At 39.8% G+C, this 18,240-nt stretch overlaps 2 protein-coding genes and 1 long non-coding RNA gene across 15 annotated transcripts in view, besides 2 other annotated features; 1 reads left to right on the forward strand and 2 right to left on the reverse strand.

The window, feature by feature from the left end:
- IQGAP2 (IQ motif containing GTPase activating protein 2) overlaps nt 1-18,240 on the forward strand; it is a 304,848-nt gene that overhangs the window by 202,031 nt on the left and 84,577 nt on the right. For 8 of the 12 annotated variants that reach the window (NM_006633.5, XM_017008960.2, XM_047416641.1 and 5 more), the window contains 2 exons: nt 864-988; nt 5,705-5,868. In NM_006633.5, coding sequence (NP_006624.3) covers nt 864-988; nt 5,705-5,868 — 289 coding nt within the window. Of the gene's footprint in view, nt 1-863; nt 989-3,795; nt 3,916-5,704; nt 5,869-18,240 lie in introns of those variants that run through there. The other 4 variants (XM_005248414.3, NM_001285462.2, XM_011543108.3 and 1 more) reach the window with 2 other exon arrangements.
- LOC101929109 (uncharacterized) lies at nt 1,293-3,654 on the reverse strand. The gene is made up of 2 exons (NR_134278.1): nt 3,545-3,654; nt 1,293-2,769 (listed from the first exon to the last, which is right to left on the reverse strand). It is a non-coding gene; the product is annotated as an uncharacterized LOC101929109 (long non-coding RNA).
- Nucleotides 3,517-3,566: an enhancer, noted in NCBI's record as "active region_22694". NCBI's record gives its function as "activates an Ori minimal core promoter by ATAC-STARR-seq in GM12878 lymphoblastoid cells {active_cell/tissue: GM12878}" and the evidence as "EXISTENCE:reporter gene assay evidence [ECO:0000049][PMID:35858748]".
- Nucleotides 10,167-18,088, reverse strand: F2RL2 (coagulation factor II thrombin receptor like 2). 2 transcript variants are annotated; one of them, NM_001256566.2, is made up of 2 exons: nt 17,982-18,088; nt 10,167-13,327 (listed from the first exon to the last, which is right to left on the reverse strand). In NM_001256566.2, exon 2 carries the CDS (start codon nt 13,323-13,325, stop codon nt 12,267-12,269), a length of 1,059 nt encoding a protein of 352 aa, NP_001243495.1. In that variant the 5' UTR covers nt 13,326-13,327; nt 17,982-18,088; the 3' UTR covers nt 10,167-12,266. The 2 variants fall into 2 exon arrangements, with proteins under 2 accessions (NP_001243495.1, NP_004092.1); NM_004101.4 differs by having other exon boundaries at nt 17,852-18,088.
- Nucleotides 17,869-18,163: a silencer, noted in NCBI's record as "tiled region #1022; K562 Repressive non-DNase unmatched - State 8:EnhW". NCBI's record gives its function as "represses a minimal TATA promoter and a strong SV40 promoter by Sharpr-MPRA in K562 cells {active_cell/tissue: K562}" and the evidence as "EXISTENCE:reporter gene assay evidence [ECO:0000049][PMID:27701403]".

The raw sequence follows: 18,240 nt of genomic DNA on the forward strand, positions 1-18,240 counted from the left end.
GGGTCATTGGTCATAAACAATGGGTGAGAGGGCCATTTTTAATTTTAATTTTATTTTTTTATGGAGACAGAGTCTCCCTGTGTTGCCCAAGCTGGTCTTTAACTCCTGGGCTCAAACGATCCTCTCACTCAGCCTCCCAAATTGCTGGGATTACAGGTGTGAGCCACCACGCCAGGCCTAAGAGAGATTTTTGAGTATTGGCTAGGAGCCTTTGGAGAAATGGGCAGGTGAAAAGGAATTTCAGTATATCCTGGTTTAACTCATGTGCCACCTCTTCAGGACAACATACGGTAAAGATTGTGCTACTCAGCAAGGTTTCTGGAACTGCATTTGCATGTTATCTGATTCCTCAGTGTCATATTAGGCCTCAAAGTGGCTCTATATTAGGGTTGTAGTAGAAAAGGTCTTTTAAAACTTAGATTTTGGAAGGAACAAGAGAAATAATGAAAAGGACACTTGATGATAGAAAGATTGAGACCCATAGTAACTCTGAATTTTGCCCTGTAACAATCATCTGAAGACTGAGAAGAACCAAGACATACAAAGGGGAGGAAAATTAGTAACTAGGGAAAAGTAATTTCACAGACTTGAAAGTTTCCAGTTTTGCTTGAGTTAGGTATGAGTTTCGATTTTGAAGAGCTTTCATTAACAGAATTTGTTCATAAAAATACTTTAAGAAAACACCATTAGTACAAGTAAGCCTGGTATATGTTGACAGAGCTACACAAGACAATTTTATTTGCCTTTCTACTCTTTGTCTAACTTCATAACAACTATGTTTGACCATGTGTCATAGTTGAGAAACAACAGGAACGAAGAATGAATGTCTCTAATTAACATCAAGATTATTTTCTCTTCCACAGTTATGCAAACACACTACTCTCTGTTAAACTAGAAGTTTTATCCCAAGGGCAAGATAACTTAAGCTGGAATGAAATTCAGAATTGTATTGATATGGTTAATGCTCAAATTCAAGAAGAAAATGACCGTAAGTATAAGACACTTTCCTTCTCTAGCATAGTGGGAGAAGAAGGTATCTGGACAACTTAGTTTTCTAGATTAGGGCTTTAAGTTTTTGCTCAAGGAACTTTGTGAGAGCAAACTCCGCTAATATGCATACCTTTATTTATAGGTAGATTTTATGCCTATACCACTGTACCAATATGTTATAAACGTTACAAAGCCTACACAAGAATTCATAATATAATAAAATACACAAGTAAAAGGCCTGATTTTTCTGGTTATTTGTACTTCAGAGACAGCTAAATACAGAGACAGCTAAATAACTCATATTTTTAAGCACCCAATTTTATTTTGACCTTTTATTTGGGCATCTTTTTTTCTGAAATATGACACGATTTTTCTGCCCCACAAATGGAGGAATTGGAACACGATCTAACTGTTGCTTAATGATCACAAATCATGGTGATTTGCTGTGTTTCTAGAAATTATGAGCTGCCAGCATGAAAGCATACCAACCTCAGGAAGATATGCCCTGAAACATGCTTTCTTGAATGTCAGCTTGCTGCTTTATCATTTGCATCTTGCTTATGAAAATAGAGTGAAGAATGAGGAGCTATGTAGCTTCTGCAGTCCATACATTCACTGCTTTTCTGTAGTATGCATTACCAAATTCAAGCTTCGAGCTGTGTTTTCCACCATGAAAACAAAGCAACACCATCTTCTGTGGCTTATGAGCTTTTGACTTGTCAGCAACAGTGGGTGAGTGTTGCTAAAATCATTGATCTCTCCTCCACCTTCCAGCTTTGACTTTTCTAACTCATTTGCTCCAAGCTCGCGGATAGAGTGGGCAGATACTTCTCTCACAGTTTATTATGTTTTATTTTAGTGTGTTTGGGTAAGGTCTTAGGTCTGGTCTTCTAATGCTGTATTTAACTTAGGAATACTAAGATCACTCTTGAAATAAAACATATGACTTTGTTAATTAATTGCATTTGCAAAGTTTTCTTCTTTTTCTTTGCTGTTTCCTGTGAGTGCTGGGCCAAAAGTCAAGGCCAGTTTTGGTTCTTGTTTTTTAAACATATTCTCACTTTAAGCCCCTACTATAAAACAGGATCCAGGTGTGCTACCCTATATACGGTACCATGGATGTACCACTGTTACACTGATCCCTGGACACTTTCATTTTGTCCTTTTCAAGTTGTGCACAAATCTAAATTTCTTTCGAGACGGCACAGCTTCCCTGTTGCCTCTGCATTTCCTTTCAGTGAAGCATTTAAAGTCTCTGCGGTGAGACGGCTTGCTCACACCCCACTTAGCTCTTTTCTGATACTTGGCTTGGGAGTTTATGGTTCTTGCCAGACGTTAGTCAAGACGCAAGCTCTAATTTGAGCAGATGTTCAACATCATCAGGTGGGGGTTGGGGGACCACCACTGCTCCTAGTGTCCCGCTACAGAGCTCAGTCCCCCAGGCTTCTGCCCTTCTCCACAACCTCCGTCTTAATGCTCTGAATCTCCTTTAGCAGTGGTTTGGTTGCTACAGCAACTGCCACCCAAGAAGTAGGACTCCTTTCTTTTGGTAGGCAAAACAAAGACTCACGTCCCATCTTTGCTTTCTAACTTTTTCCCCAATTCTTGGCAATACCCATGCTTCAGTTCTGCTTTGGTTATTTCTGTATGTGCTGCTTACACAAATGAAGGTATGTTAGTTCTCAGTGCTGAAAGATTGTAGGGTTGACATTGATTAACAGGGGGAAAATGCCAGTTTTGTTCTTGGCTATCAAGTACAGCCTTTGCTTTAGTTGGTTACTGGGGGGAAAAAAAGCAAGTAACATTTGCATAACTTAGAAAATAGTCTTTTGTAAGTAGATATTATTTTTAAGCAAAAATCTCATTTGATTGCTGTGGCTTTTATCTATCAAGGTAACAGCACTACTAAGTTATTCTCCCTAGGACATTTCACACAGCCACTATAACACTTCTGTTAAGTATCTTGTCATAAAGGACATATACCATAACCAGAAAAGGTATTTCAGACACTAATATTTCCTTTCTGGAATTTGGGAACTTTAATACAGAGTATTTAATTTATCTGTGTCTTGGTTTTATTTTTTTCTTTTGTCAGAATGAGTTCCTGAAGTATTGAGTTTGATATCATGTTTAGGCAATTCTTCAAAATCTAAAATTTCTAAAATACACCATTGTAACCAGGCAGGAATTGCTCAGTATAGTAATTAAGTCATCTGAGGAGCTGAGAATTTTTCATGGACGTTTTGAAGGTGCATTACTCTTGCCTCCCCACCTTATTCTTGCCACATGCTCTGAGATCTAATTCCATATCTGAGTTGTGATGTGGGTGAGGTAAGCAGCTAATGGAAAATGAGAAATATAGAAGGTGAATTTAATGGAGAAGCTAGCTGCTGAATGCATTTCCTCAGGCTCTGTTGATTTCTTACTGAAAAGTTTACTTTTCCCAGTAGAACCATAAAGGAGCATTATTTTAACCTTATAGCCTACATCAGGAAGTTTTCTTCTTTGAGTTTTTGCTCTTTAAATTTGGTAGGTACAATTCTGTGTAGGTTACCTCATCTGCTGCCTCAAATACATGAACTCTAAAAGAACGCCCACTCTCTTGTGGACTAGAATGTTATAGTAACATGTGTTGATGTAAAGAAGTGGACCGTGGGCTGAGTGAAGCTCAGCAATCTTTCTTCAAATAGGATTTCCCTTTTATTTATAAACAGAGGAAGTGATGCATATGTTCCCAGAGGGCTTCTGGGTAATCTTTCAGCTCCTATGATGTCATTCACTATGACCTCAGCAGCTTGTATTCTTAGAAACGCAGCAGACAGCAACTTTAGCAGGTGATTTCAATCAAGTCAGCTGAAATGCACTCACTTCCAGGTGATCGGCCTTGGTTCTGTTAAGACCATTTTTGGATGGGGTGTTTTAAAGGTATTTAGAACAGCTTACCCAAGGGGGGTGACCAGAGAATGGCACTAAATATTCCATGCACTCCAGTTTATAAATCCTATAGGGTAAAACGACAGTACCTTGTATATAGATAATACTTAGACTTTCCAGAGTTCTGTCAATGTTTACAGATAATATAACCTGCACATTAGAGAAATACTTCTGCTTTTTCTTCAAACATATTTAAGTATTATAGTCTGGAATGATTTCTAGGAGTTTTAGATGGTTTCATTCTTCTTACAGGTAAATCTTTTCATTCTTAACGAAGTGGTGGTTATGGGCTCATCTATTCAAGAAATATTTAGCTAAATATTTTATCTTTACTTGAATGTCAAGCTGGAGATACTTTTTTTAAAAATGAGAAGTACTCATTCTATTTCATGGCATATCACAGTTGTGAAGTGACGGGTGATCATTTTAGATTAAATCTAATGGAAAAAATGAGAAATATGAAGTTTGACCTTAAAAATGCTTATATTCTAAGCTTATTGTTCATTAATATCTAGTTTCTTTAACAGTTCTTATCCATCAGTACTAACCTAGGAAGCAAAAGCTCCTTGGCAGTGTGTGTATATGTGTGTTTTATATATATATGTGTGTGTGTGTGTGTGTGTGTGTCTGTGTGTGCATGTCTATCTAAATGCATTTTTTTATGAATGGATGATAGTTTATTTTTTAATAATAAGGTATTGAGAAGTAACCTCCAGATAGATCCGTTTCATTAGAATTGTAAAAGCAGGTTTCATAGTTTGACTTCTGTGCTTTTCATTTGTGAACCCTATAGTCAGTCTTGTTCTCTCTTTCTCTCTCTCTCTCTCTCTCTCTCTCTATATATATATATATATATATATATATATATATATATATTTTTTTTTTTTTTTTTTTTTTTTTTTTTGGTGGGGGGAACAGAGTCTTACTCTGTCACCCAGGCTAGAGTGCAGTGGTGCAATCTTGGCTCACTGCAACCTCTGCCTCCTGGATTCAAGTGATTCTCCTACCTCAGCCTCCCAAGTAGCTGGGACTTGAATAGACACTTCATTTCTTTAAAGATGATGTACAAAGGGAAAATAAACACATGAAAAGATGCTCAAAATCATTAGTCACTAGAAAAATACAAATCCAAACCACAGTATGATACCACTTCACACCCACTAGGATGGCTGTAATGAAAAAGACAATAACAAGTGTTGGTCAGAATGTAGAGAGCTACTCAGGAGGCTGAGGCACAAGAATCACTTGAACACAGGAGGCGGAGGTGGCAGTGAGCCAAGATCATGCCACAGCACTCCAGCCTGGGGGACAGAGCAAGAATCTCTCAAAAAAAAAAAATAAAAATAAAAACCAGCAGCTGGGACCTTGATAGAAGTTGCATTGAATCTGTAGGTCAATTTAAGAAGTATTTCCATCTTAACAATACTAAATCTTCCAATTCATGAACATTGGCTCTTTTCATTTATTTGTCTTTAAGTTTTTTCCCATGGTGTTGTATAGTTTTCAGTGTACATGTCTTATGTTTCTTTCATTAAATTATGTCTAAATATTTATTTATAATTATAATGTATTTGTAGTTGCAGTCTTATGAATTGAATGTGTTCTTAATTTTATTTTCAGATTGCTTATTATGAGCGTATAGACACATAATTGGTTTTGTGCTTGCATCTTGCATCCTATAGCCTTGCTGTACTAGTTAATTAGCCTTTTGCAATCGGTGATACTAAAGAAGTTATAATGTACTGTGACTTAAAAGGAAAACTACTTCTTCATTTTCTAGGAGTTGTAGCTGTAGGGTACATCAATGAAGCTATTGATGAAGGGAATCCTTTGAGGACTTTAGAAACTTTGCTCCTACCTACTGCGAATATTAGTGATGTGGACCCAGCCCATGCCCAGCACTACCAGGATGTTTTATACCATGCTAAATCACAGAAACTCGGAGTAAGTTTTAGTATATCTGTTTCTTTTAAATTTTACAGGCTGGGTGGCAGAGGGAGAGAAGGAGGAGGATTTGACCCATTTACGTTAAATCTCATGAGCTTCTTGTCCCAACAATTACCCATGAATCAGAATGGAAATAATAGAGCTGTTATTTTCCTGGTAACAAACATTGGGGGGAAACCAGCTCCAGAGCTATTTATTGCTTTAATTCTTTGACTAAAAACTCAGTTGTAGGTGAGTTCTTGTTCAGAGTTCAATTCATTGACTATTTCCTTAGTAGATACTATGTGCACACTTCAGTCCATAGCTTCTGGTAGAGAAGATGGGGATACAGAGGGACACATAATACCATTTGAATGTTCTCTGACCTTATCTTCAAAATGCTTAGAAACTGATTGAGGCAGTGGACATTGTCACATGGAACAGTCAAGTAATAGTAAAGATAAGGGTGTGCAAAGTGTCAAAATGAGAGATACACAGATTGATTCACGGATGTTTGAGATTGTCGGGGACTAGAATCCTAAGAGAAGTTGGTGTGGAGGTAGAGCAGAAGCTGTCCTCTCGAAGACTAGTGGCTTTTTCTGAGTACAGAGCTTGTACCGCTATTATAAGGAGCCCCACAAAGACTGGCCTCTGTGATAAGGCCAATGGGCTGAGTGGTGAGGCTGATATGATCTGTCACCTAAGAGTGGGAGTGATGCCACCTGGGACCTAGCTACTTATGGCTGCCATGTCTTCAGGTGCAAACCCAACTGAAAGGGCGGTCATCTCCTCTGTCTAGGTCTTTAGAACCTAGGAACTGCCTCATTCGAAACAGGAAAAACATCCTTGGTTAATGCAAACATTTATTGAGAACCTACTATTTGTCAGGCATGATATTAGATACTCATGTGTATCATCTCATTTAATCATCACAACAATTCATAACAGCCTTCTGAACCATTTTGCCATCATTATTGCCATCTTACACATAATGAAACCAAGATTAAGTAACTTGTTGAAAGCTATCTAAAATGTGACCGGGCACAGTAGCTCACACCTGTAATCCCAGCATTTCGGGAGGCCAAGGCAGGTGGATCACTTGAGGCCAGGAGTTCGAGACCAGCCTGGCAAACATGGTGAAACCCCATCTCTGCTAAAAGATAAAAATAAAAAATAAAAAATTAGCCAGGTGTGGTGGCTCACACCTATAATCCCAGCTACTTGGGAGGTTGAGGGACAAGAATCTCTTGAACCGAGAGGTAGAGGTTGCAGCGAGCTGAGATCGCACCATTGCACCCCCACCTGGGTGACAGAGCAAGGCTCTGTCTCGAAAATAAATACATAAAATAAAATAAAACAAAATCAAGCTATCTAAAAGATAATTAGTCCTGAGACTACATGCAGCTCAGGTCTGTCTGATTCGGAAACATTATAATTATGTATTAAGGCAGATGGGAAAAGATGTTTATTGCAGCTTTGTTTGCAATCACAAAACATGAAAAACAACCTAAATGTTGTTAAGCAAAAAAAAAATCATGCTGTGATGTGCACATAGATGGAATATAGATAGGCTTGTGTATGTGTTGGGGGAGGGGCGCACACACTCTTACATGTGTCTAAAATATTTCTGGAGGGAGGATACCTTCTGGAAGGTGAACTAGAAGGCTAGTATGGATGGGAGATTTATTCTTCACTCCGTTTTTGTACTGCTTGGATTTTTAAATTTTTTAAGGAGTGTGTGTATTAAATAATTACTGTTTCTAAACTTTTAAAAACCAATGTAAATCCTATCCTCACTACTCCACTGCCTCATTGAAGGTGGAGAAATGTATCCCCCATGGTGGCGCCCTCTGCACTGCCAGCCTTCCAACAGGAACGGCAGTGGCATTGCCTGACCCTCCTCACTTTGCCAAGCGCCCCCACTCACATCAGTCTTTCTCATTTAAGCCTCATACCACCTGTGGAATGGGTGCTGTCTCATCTGATGTGAACGAGCCTGAGGCTCAGGGCGAATGCCTGGCCAAGGTACAGCCAGTGAGTGGGAGAGTGAGGGCTCATACACAAGCCTGGAGTCCATACATCCCAGGGGCAGGAGAGTGGGCCTTCACCTTGATGTTTCCACTGAGGTGGCTGTGGCCATGGCACATGGTAAACTTACAAGCATTGGAAGACAAAGTTATTTGCTTTGAAGATAGACATCATTCAAATCCTGGCTTTGCCACAAATTAGTTATGTGATCTTGGTCAAATCATCAAATCTCTATATGCTTATTTTTGCATGTATAAAATTGGAATAATAGTACCTGTCTTATAGGATTATGGTGAGGGTTCAATGAGAATATACAATATGTAAATATATATCAATATATAACTATAGGTACTATTAATGAAGAATATGTGCACGTGTTTGTGTAGCTATAGCATTTAGCATGGAGCCTGGCACCAAAAAAAGGGCTTAAATAATGTAGCTAGTATTATTGTGGGCACCTATGGTTGCCTCCCAAGTAAGGGGCGAGTGATGTCAGTATCTTAAGGTTCTTTTTTTTGTGAGGTGGAGTCTCGCTCAGTTACCCAGGCTGGAGTGCCGTGGCGCCATATCAGCTCACGGAAACCTCCACCTCCCAGGTTCAACCGATTCTCCTGCCTCAGCCTCCCGAGTAGCAGGGACTACAGGCACCTGCCATCAAGCCCGGCTAATTTTTGTATTTTGTAGAGACGAGGTTTCACCATGTTTTCCAGGCTGGTCTTGAACTCCTGACCTCAGGTTATCCACCTGCCTCGGCCTCCCAAAGTGCTGGGATTACAGGCATGAGCCACCGCACCCGGCTTCAAGGTTCTTACTAGACGTAGAGTCTGCTGAATTTACACACCAAAGTCAGGATCTTCTGAGGACAAATAGAGACAGACCTGGGTCCCTGTCTGCCCACAGCCACATGGGGGTTTGTCTTTGAGGTGAGCCTGACTCCACAAACCCAAGGCCTTTCATAGGCAGGCAGTATAGGTCCCTTCTAGACTGAGCATTCCAATCTAGATTGAGATGGAACTCCACAGGCGTCCTTTGAAAGAAGCCCCTGAGTGCCCACACCATGCCAGCTCTGTGTCAGGCATCCTTTCTAGGTGTGGAAACAGTAGCTTTCATGGTGTGATTAGAGCATTGATATGGAGCCTAGGGATCTGGGTTCTAGTTCAGGCGTTAAACCACTGTTAGACTATAGTTAGAGGTTTGAAATATACTGGCAATTACTAACAGATTTAAACAGATTTAAAATACTGCAGGTCCAAGCGATGAATCATATTTGGTTAAATTCCTGTTTTTAAGCAGTTTTCTTTCTCTGTTCATTGACTTTGAAACTTTCTTTTCTCAGCCTGTTCTTTTTTCTTGGAAAAATCCTAATTCTGTTGTTTGGCAATGTCTTTAATGTCTTTGTTTTTCCCCTCTGCTTTTTTTTTTTTTTTTTTTTTTTTTTTGGAGACAGGATCTTGCTGTGTTGCCCAGGCTGGTCTCAAACTCCTGGGCTCAAGTGATCCTCCCACCTCAGCCTCTCAAGTAGCTGGGATTGTAGGCACAAGCCACCACATTCAGCATCCTCTACTATTTTGATTCCTAGAAGTTTCCAGTTGTGTGTTTATGATGGTATTTCTGTGCCTTGTCTTCCCAAGGTCTGGCCTTGGAAAATAATATTAGAAAATTATATTGCTGGTATTATCAGTATAAAGTAAAACTGTGCCAAAGGCTACAGCCATTAAAGGTCACAATGGGTAACATCTTCATAGAATGGCTGCCCAGTTTTGTCAAAGGTGGAGGACAGTAATGGAAGTTGGTGAAGATTCTGGGTCCTCTTTAGCAGTATGTCAAGTATAACCTTGTGTAGCTACAAAATTCCTTTTGCCTCTTGGAAAGAGACTTGAGTAATGGTCATGTTGACTTTAACACTTTTTCTATGTCTGTTCACTGGGTGGTGTGTGCTATTTTACAATTGAAGGTTTTGCTTGTGAACATATGAGTTATACTCCACCAAAAAGTTCTGTTTTGCTCCTTGTATATACCATAAAAACTGTGTGCTTTTAACGAATATTGCTGTATTTTTTCCTTAGGTAAAACTGTGTTGTAATTGATGACTTAGTTTTCAGAAGTCAGCTCCTTCCATTTAAGTTTCTATCTTCTTGAAACTTACTTTAGGTTTGTTTTTCATTCTCACTTTAGTGTTTACCTGAGTTTTGCTCTTTGCATAACCACACACATATTATAAAGGGTCTTCATGTGGAAGCTTTTTACTTAAGTCTGATGAAATAGAAAACTGTGTACATTTAAAAATATGCATTTAAAATTGTTTTTTATTGTTTTGTTGGGCAGTATGAAATATACAGTCAAGGCAGATTCGTACAGACTTGTAAAGTCATCTCAGGAATCTTTTATGCTTAAAGTTTCCTCAGCCCCATTTATATTCACTACTATCATTCACTCTTTACCACTAATATCTTCCCTGCTGTCTAATCACTAATATCTTCCCTCCTGTCTAATCACTAATGTCTTCCTTCCTGTCTAATCACTGAGTTAAGGGAAAAATAGTCATTTACTTACAGGAATATAATGGGTATTAATAACAAAATTCCATTTCCCCATTAAAAGCTATGTCTAAGAAAAAAAATAGTGGAGGCATTATTTAAAACTTCTAAATGGCCTGGTGAGTATAGTCTTAGTTTAGCTTCCTTACTTTTTTGTATGCCCAACCTGAAATGATGTCATCCCGTATCATCACAGTATGTTGCTTTTTCAGTACGAAGTTAATGGGCTTTCCTGCTGTTTAACTGCTTTGAGATTTTAAAAATTCATTCAGCCACATAGTATTCAAAGCATGGAGCTGGGTGCCACAAAGACTTGGGCCTGGCATCACCCAGAAGCTCAAGGAAGGCAGAGGATGAGCACCTTCTCCATTATACTTGGTACTTGATTGTTCATGGAATTAAAATTTAAATATAAATGAACTATATATAAATGCCATAATAAAAATATACGAAAGTGCTTTGGAAGTACAGATAAGAAAAGTGACACTTCTAGCCTGAGAATCAGGGAAGAATGGTCCTTCAAGGACTTGAAAAAATGAACAGAATTAAGGCAAAGACGTTAGGACTAGCTTTTCAGTCTGAGGCAGAGTGGAGATATAGCAGAGCAAGAGGTTTGGTTGGTGCCTATATCATAAGCAAGGTTTAATGGGAAGTGTGATTAGCAAGTTAGCCTTGAATGCCAGGCTAAAGATTTATGATTTATTATAGAAACAGTGGAGTTAGTGGAAATGTTTTAGTGATGTATCCTAACTGATATCTAAGGAAGATTAATCTGGCAGGACTTGTGAAGTGGTGGAGGGTAGGCTGGCAGTGGAGAGAATGGTTAGAAGGTAGAGGTGGCCTGGACGTAGTGGCTCATGCCTGTAGTCCCAGCACTTTGGGAGGCTGAGATAGGAAGATCACTCGAGACCAGGAGTTCAAGACCAGCCTGGGCAACAGTGAGACTCCATCTCTGCAAAAAATAAAAAATAAAATTAGTTGGGTATGGTGGTGCATGCCTGTAGTCTTAGTTACTTGGGAGGCTGAGACAGCAGGATTGCTTGAGCCCAGGAGTTGGAGGCTGAAGTGAGCTATGATCAGGCTACTGCACTTCAGCCAGGTGACGAAGCGAGACACTGTCTCTATTAAAAAAAGGAAAAAAGAAGGCAAAGGTGAAACTAGATAAAAGACCCTGGTGAGGGACCCTACAAAGATAGAATCAGTTGATGAGGCAGCCACCAGCATGAGAGTCAAAAGAGACCAAAGAATAAAAAATGATGTCAAATGTCAAGGATGGCAATACCACTCACAGAAATAGGGAAGATGGTGATTTAAAGAGCTTGAAGTAGCAATAAGGCAAATGGAAATGTCATTTTCCATAGAGTTGTGATATCTTTTCTCCTGCATTAACATTTTTAAAATACTGATAAAGTGTTTTTAAAAATTACTAATGCTGGCTGGCTCAGTGGCTCACGCCTGTAATCCAGCACTTTGGGAGGCTGAGGCCGGAAGATCACTTGAGGTCAGGAGTTCAAGACCAGCCTGGTCAACATGGTGAAACCCCGTCTCTACTAAAAATACAAGTATTTTTAGTAGCTGGGCATGGTGGTGTAATCCCAGCTACTTGGGAGGCTGACCTGGGAGGCAGAGGTTGCAATGAGCCAAGATAGTGCCACTGCACGCCAGTCTGGGTGATAAAGTGAGACTCAGTCTCAAAAACAAACAAACAAACTACTAATGCTTTTGTAATGTTTGACCTTTGAAGCATATTTCTTAGGAGCTCGGAAATGGAGCTCCTTGCACTATGCTTATGTTGTTCTTGAAAACAGACGTTCTCTGTGATGGCTGTCCTTGTTCTCTAAGATCATTTCACTATTTTGTAAGGTAAGCAGTGGAGTGATTTCTGGTTTTTGACATGAGAAAATAAAGGAATGGATCTAAGCAACTATTAAGACTACCCAGGCACAAAGCTATGAGATATATAAAATATAAGCCATCAGTGTTGTTGTAGTAGTAGTTAGCATGGTGAATAATAAGAATAATATTGCTTGGAGCAAAGCAAATGGTAAAAATCACAAGGATGAGGAGACTCGCCTTAACATACCACAACCATCTATGATCGTATGCATTAAGTGTCCGGATGATGGCTGCATAGCAGTAGATGATAAGCACAAATGGAATTAAGAATCCAAAGAATGCCAAGGAGATGAAGTAATAGAGTTGGAAGGGAGATGAGGACTCGCAAGTGTTGTGAACATCATGGCAGGTGGTGATGTCTGGCTGAACAAGATAATATTCCTGCTTCAGTATGAAAAATGGCAGCATATATAAGAAAACTGTTGCCCACACCAGTCCACATGTTACCAAGGCATAGGTGTGCTTGGGCAGGCCCCGGTAGGTGAAAGGATGGACGATGGCCAGGTAGCGGTTGATGCTGATGCAGGCAAGGAGCAGAATGGAGCAGTACATGTTGCCATAGAAGATGACTGTGGTGGCCCGGCACAGGACCTCTCCAAATACCCAGTTGTTCCCATTGAGATGATAAGCTATCTTAAAGGGCAATGTAACACAAAAAAGAAAATCTGCAATGGCCAGGTTGGTGTAGAATACAGTGGTACAGATGGATCTGGTCCTGAAGAAAAGCATCCACAGGGTCACAGCATTGGCCGGGACACCAACTACAAACACCAGGAGGTAGATGGCAGGTATCAGTTTAGTACTTAAGGAGCTGGTCAGGTACCCCATGGTAGCATTTTTCACATGGAGATGTGAAGCACTTTCTTCAGGGCACTTAATTTTTACAGTAATCGTGGCTCCTGTCCAGCCTTCCAAGGCAGAAAAGGGGAACTCTTCAAAAGAATTTGGGGGAGCTCCACGAAAGGTCTTAATGGGTAAGGTTGGCTTTGCCAAGTTGTTTGTATCATTTTCCATGCCTGTAATTGAAAGAAAGTATTAACATAAATGTATAGTTCAAGAGAAAAGAAAGTGTGTTTAATTATTTGTAAATAATTTCTGTGATTGTAGAATTTAAGATCATTTTTATTTTAAAAAGTTATTGTAGATTAGGCAGTCAACAAGCATATATTTAATACATATCATATGCCCCAGAACAACACTATCTTGTGCGGAAACAAAAACTAAATGATCAGTCCTTGTATGTAAAGTGTTTATAATACTATTAGAAGAAACAAAAACAGCCCATCAGAACATTATAGGCATGTTGACTACAAACTATACAGGCATTCAGACAATACTTAATAGATTCAGATGTTTGAGCAAAATGTCAAGGAAAAGATGAACTTGAGCAAAGACTAGCAAGGTTCCTAAAAAGATGGAATTTAATGAGTAAGATTCTGCTGGTGATGAATGGACAGAAGCATAGTGTGGGCTATCATGGGATCTGGGAATGCCAGATAAGTTGATTTAGCAAATTTTTATTGTACATTGATGTGTCAGTGGTGTAAAGTTTTAAATAAAATCCATTTCTATCTGTAAGTAATGCTACTCGTGGAGAAGATGCATAAAAATGCATTGTCTTATGCGAATAAAGTGCAGCTGAGAAAGGAAATTGAAAGAGTGGGTGACAGCTAAATTCCTGAAGGGCCTCTAAACTGTCCTAAGAAATCATATGTCTATTCACAGATGATGGGATTGCACACACAATTTTGAACAGAGGAATGACCATTGTGTTAGGCAGAATAGTAGCCCCCCGCAAAGATTCTACCTGCTAATTCCTGGAACCTACAAGTATATTCCTTTACCTAGCAAAAGGGATTTTGCAGATCTAACTTAGTTAAGGATCTTCTTTTTTTTTTTTTTTTTTTTTTGAGACAGTCTCACTCTGTCGCCCAGGCTGGAGTGCAGTGGCACGATCTCAGCTCACTGCAACCTCCGCCTCCCGGGTTCACGCCATTCTCCTGCCTCAGCCTCCCCAGTAGCTGGGACTACAAGCGCCCGCCACCAGGCCTGGCTAATTTTTTGTATTTTTTTAGTAGAGACAGGGTTTCACCATGTTAGCCAGGATGGTCTCGATCTCCTGACCTCGTGATCTGCCCGCCTCGGCCACCCAAAGTGCTGGGATTACAGGCGTGAGCCACCGCGCCCGGCCAGTTAAGGATCTTAAAATGAGATTTTCCTGGATTGCCTGGGTGGGTCAAATATAATCATAACAGTCCATATAAGGGGAAGGTAAGAGGGTTGTCAAAGTCAGAGATTTGAAGATGCTATGCTGCTGGCTTTGAAGATGGAAGAAAGGGTCATAACCCAAGGAATGCAGGCAGATTCTAGAAGCTGAAAAAAGCAAGATAGCCGATTCTCTCCTAGAGCCTCGAGAATGAACACAACCCCACCAACAGCCTTGATTTTAAGACCTCTGATCTCCAGAAATATAATCTGTTATTTTAAGCCACTCAGTTTGTAATGATTTGATATAGCAGCAGTAGGAAACGAATATAGCCGTTATTTTGACTTGTTTTTAAGATGACTTAGGTAATAGTGTAGAGAACAGATTGGAAAGGTAAGAAATTACAGGCAAGGGGACCTGATTTGGAGGCTACTGTCATCATTCATAGCTCAGTGAGTTACTGAGCTAGAACAGTGGTTATGGAAAGGCAGAGGCGAACACGTGAGACTCTGATGGCGGCTTAAAGGGACTTGGTTCTGATTGGCTTTGGGGTGCAGTGAGGGAGAGGCAGGAAGCAATAATGACTCAGGTTTCTACTCTAGATGACTTGGAGGGAGAGGATGCCATTAACTGAGTTGGAGGGAGACAAGGAGACAGGATCGGGGAGAAGCTACAATCTGTTTTTAGTCTGACTGAGGATGAGTTGCTGGTGGAATATTAGTGTGTAAAATGTCCAGCAACTGGTTAGAAGACTGGATGTGGGTCCAAAATTCCAGGAGCCCAAATTAGAGGCATGATTTATTGTAGTCTGCATGGAGGCTCTCGTTTAATTTAATGGGAGTGGTTGAGATGGCCTAGGGGGAGTTATGAGAAGAAAGAATCCAAAGGTGGACTTTAGGGGTAATGACAGATTTTAAGGGAAGAGGAAACAAAGGAGGAAAAATCGGAAGATGAAATCGGTATGAGGACCTAAGAAGTTGGAAATGAATTCTTTAAAAGATAGAAACACATCAACTATATGCTATCAATATTTGGTGTTACTTGGCATGTTGATGTTAATAATCCTAATTCCTGCAATTTCAAAAACAAAATCTTAAAGCTCAAACCTGAACATTTATTATTATATAACTTTTTGTAACCCTTTCACATGTATAGAAAATAGATTCTCCCAGATTTCTAATGTTACCTTTAAGATAGACTTCTATGCCAAATATAAACCTCATTCTTATCGATTTAAAATGCCAGTACTGCGCCATTATGTCTTGTCCCATGGCCTCAAAATTCCTCCATATTGAATACTTGAAGTTAGTGTTTAGTAACCTATGTTTCATTCAGAGCCAGTTTCTCTTCCTGCTTTAATCTCTAGCAGTTAGCTCCCGGGTGAAATGGAAACCCTCCACGTAAACCTGAGATTGCACAAGCTGAATTCACGGTGTAAAATAGAGGAGGTGTGTCCTAGTAACTGAGGGGTATGGAGGTGATCAGGTATCATTTAAGAAAAGGTAGATTAAAGAAAAGGAAAGAAAAATTTGGGAGGCAGCATTCTTCTATGCCTGTATTTAGAGGTGATCTTAGAAGCTGTGTTGTGTGACACACAAACCCTTCTGCTCACTTTTGCATTTTGGAAAAGTTCTTGCATCTGACATCACCCAAAGAGAAGTGCCTTTAAAGATAGGCACAAAGTTAGAGAATGGTGCCTGAAGAGCATGCCGTACAAGTTATTAGCCTGATTTTAAAAAGCTGTTAAAACCAAGTGTTTGTCCGTTTTCAGAAAGTTTCTGGGATTTAGCAAGACATCATGCCTCCAGACATGCCAAACAGTGCCTGTGTTTTGTGGAAAAGTTGATTTGATTCCATTTTCCGTGAGAATGCCAGATCTGGGTCCACTTAAATAAGGCTTTTATTCCTCAGAGCCTGGTTTTCCTTATGAATTGTACTCATTGTTAAATTTTTTTATTGTATTTTAATTCTTTATAGAGGCTTCCATTGGGCATAATATTTCGGAAATGTTTTTCTATCCGGGAAAAGGCCTTGAAGAACTAATCCAAAGAGAATGAACTCCGGCCTCTCAGGGGTGTCCAAGGGAGAGAATACAGTCATGGATTCATAGTTTCTGTTTCTAGTTGAGCCAGTAAAGCCCCTTCCTCATCCCTCTTTTCCATTTACCTCTAGAGACAGAAACTAAAAACCATGGCTTCAGGCTGCTAAAAGCCTAAAACAAAACAAAACCACAACGAAATAAGGCAGGTTGGACAAGCTTGCTTCATTCTTCCTTCACATTTCTCCCCCACCCCATGGAAGAAAGCAAATTCACTGCCTCTTTGTTTCCTTCAGAGGCCCCCGTTTTCACCTCCATCAAACCCTATTAGCGTCTTGAAGGAACCACCCCCGAAAACCTTGCTTCTTTTGCAATTCTGCTTCTCAACATATTGGCCCATCTACTCCCAGAAAGAGCGTGCACTTATTATATTCATAAATCCCACATGTGCTTACTGCTAATCACCACAGATTCTCTTAGAGCTCTCTGCAACCGCTCAGGGATTCCAAATGTGAATTTAAGCAATGTTCCTTTAGAAAGCATTGATTTCTGTTTTTGTTTCCCTTGCTATGTCCAGTCTTTGCCTCTCCCACTCCTAACAATGTTGACTGGAGTGTGTGACCTAACAAAGAGTAACAGGTACAGACCTATCCCAAATTTGTTATTTTTGGAAAAAGCAGGAGGTTTCAGGCTAACATTGTGATGGGTAAAGTGGAAAGTACATTCAAAGTTGAATAATAGTATTTGGGAGACCTTATTTTTAAAATTAAAAAATCATATATGAGGGTAGGGAGAACTCCCCACTTAAAGTCAAAAAAGGTCATTCATTTCGGAAATACTGACTTATTAGCATTGCCAGCTATTGAAAGCAGATGACTTTCTCTTTCTGGCAGTATTCTTGTTTCTCCCATTTATGTCTCACCAAGAGGTTTAAACACAGGATATATATTTTAATCCCTAGAAAAAGTGCCATCTTTGCTTAACCAGAAGAGAAATTCTTACAAACACAAAAACGACTTTCAAAATTGCTCCCTGACTTAATCGTAGACATCTAAAATCTTGAATATGCCACACATTTTTAAACATCAGGAGGGAACACTTAGTCTATGACCAGGTTTGAATAGAGTGAATGAACTATAGATGTTCATTTCCATGATTCTACCTTTTAATAATAAAGATCAAACTGCCTTTGGGGTTTACAGTTTGTGTGAGATGCAAAGAAACCTAGGTTCAGTTGACTCTTAATTTGTAACAGAAACCCACATCCCCATCCTACCCCCTGAGAAAATTGCTTACCACTCTGACAAAAAGTGGGCAACAGAAGCAGGAGGCCAGCAGCTGCAAAGATGAGGGCTTTCATTTTGATGACCTGAGTCCCGTCTCTTAAACGTTATGAAATCTGTAAAATCATGGAGCACAATTTCACCTCAGTTCCATGTGTCAGCAGCAAATGGAAGCCTTGGTCTGTCTGTAGAAGTTTGCTCTCCTGTGCCGTGCAGGCAGGAAACTTGCCCTGGTCCTCCGCAGGGAAAGGATGTAATCCACTCGATGCTTCAGTAAGCATGACTCAGGCCAAGCCTCTGAACGTGTTACGTTATCCCTGGAGAAAGGCATTTAACTCTTACCCACCCCCAACAATCTATTCTGAATAGGTGCTGTAATTCTCCCCTAGTAGATTTGCTTTT

Source organism: Homo sapiens, chromosome 5 (assembly GCF_000001405.40).
Source record: "Homo sapiens chromosome 5, GRCh38.p14 Primary Assembly".
NCBI lineage: Eukaryota > Metazoa > Chordata > Mammalia > Primates > Hominidae > Homo > Homo sapiens.

What these genes read in the sequence shown, in the direction of transcription:
- F2RL2 (NM_004101.4), bottom strand. Translation starts at nt 17,915, where the DNA reads ATGAAAGCCCTCATCTTTGCAGCTGCTGGCCTCCTGCTTCTGTTGCCC. An exon ending in GCCCACTTTTTGTCAGAGTG is followed by an intron (nt 13,328 to 17,851) that starts GTAAGCAATTTT and finishes TTTCAATTACAG; the next exon opens with GCATGGAAAATGATACAAAC.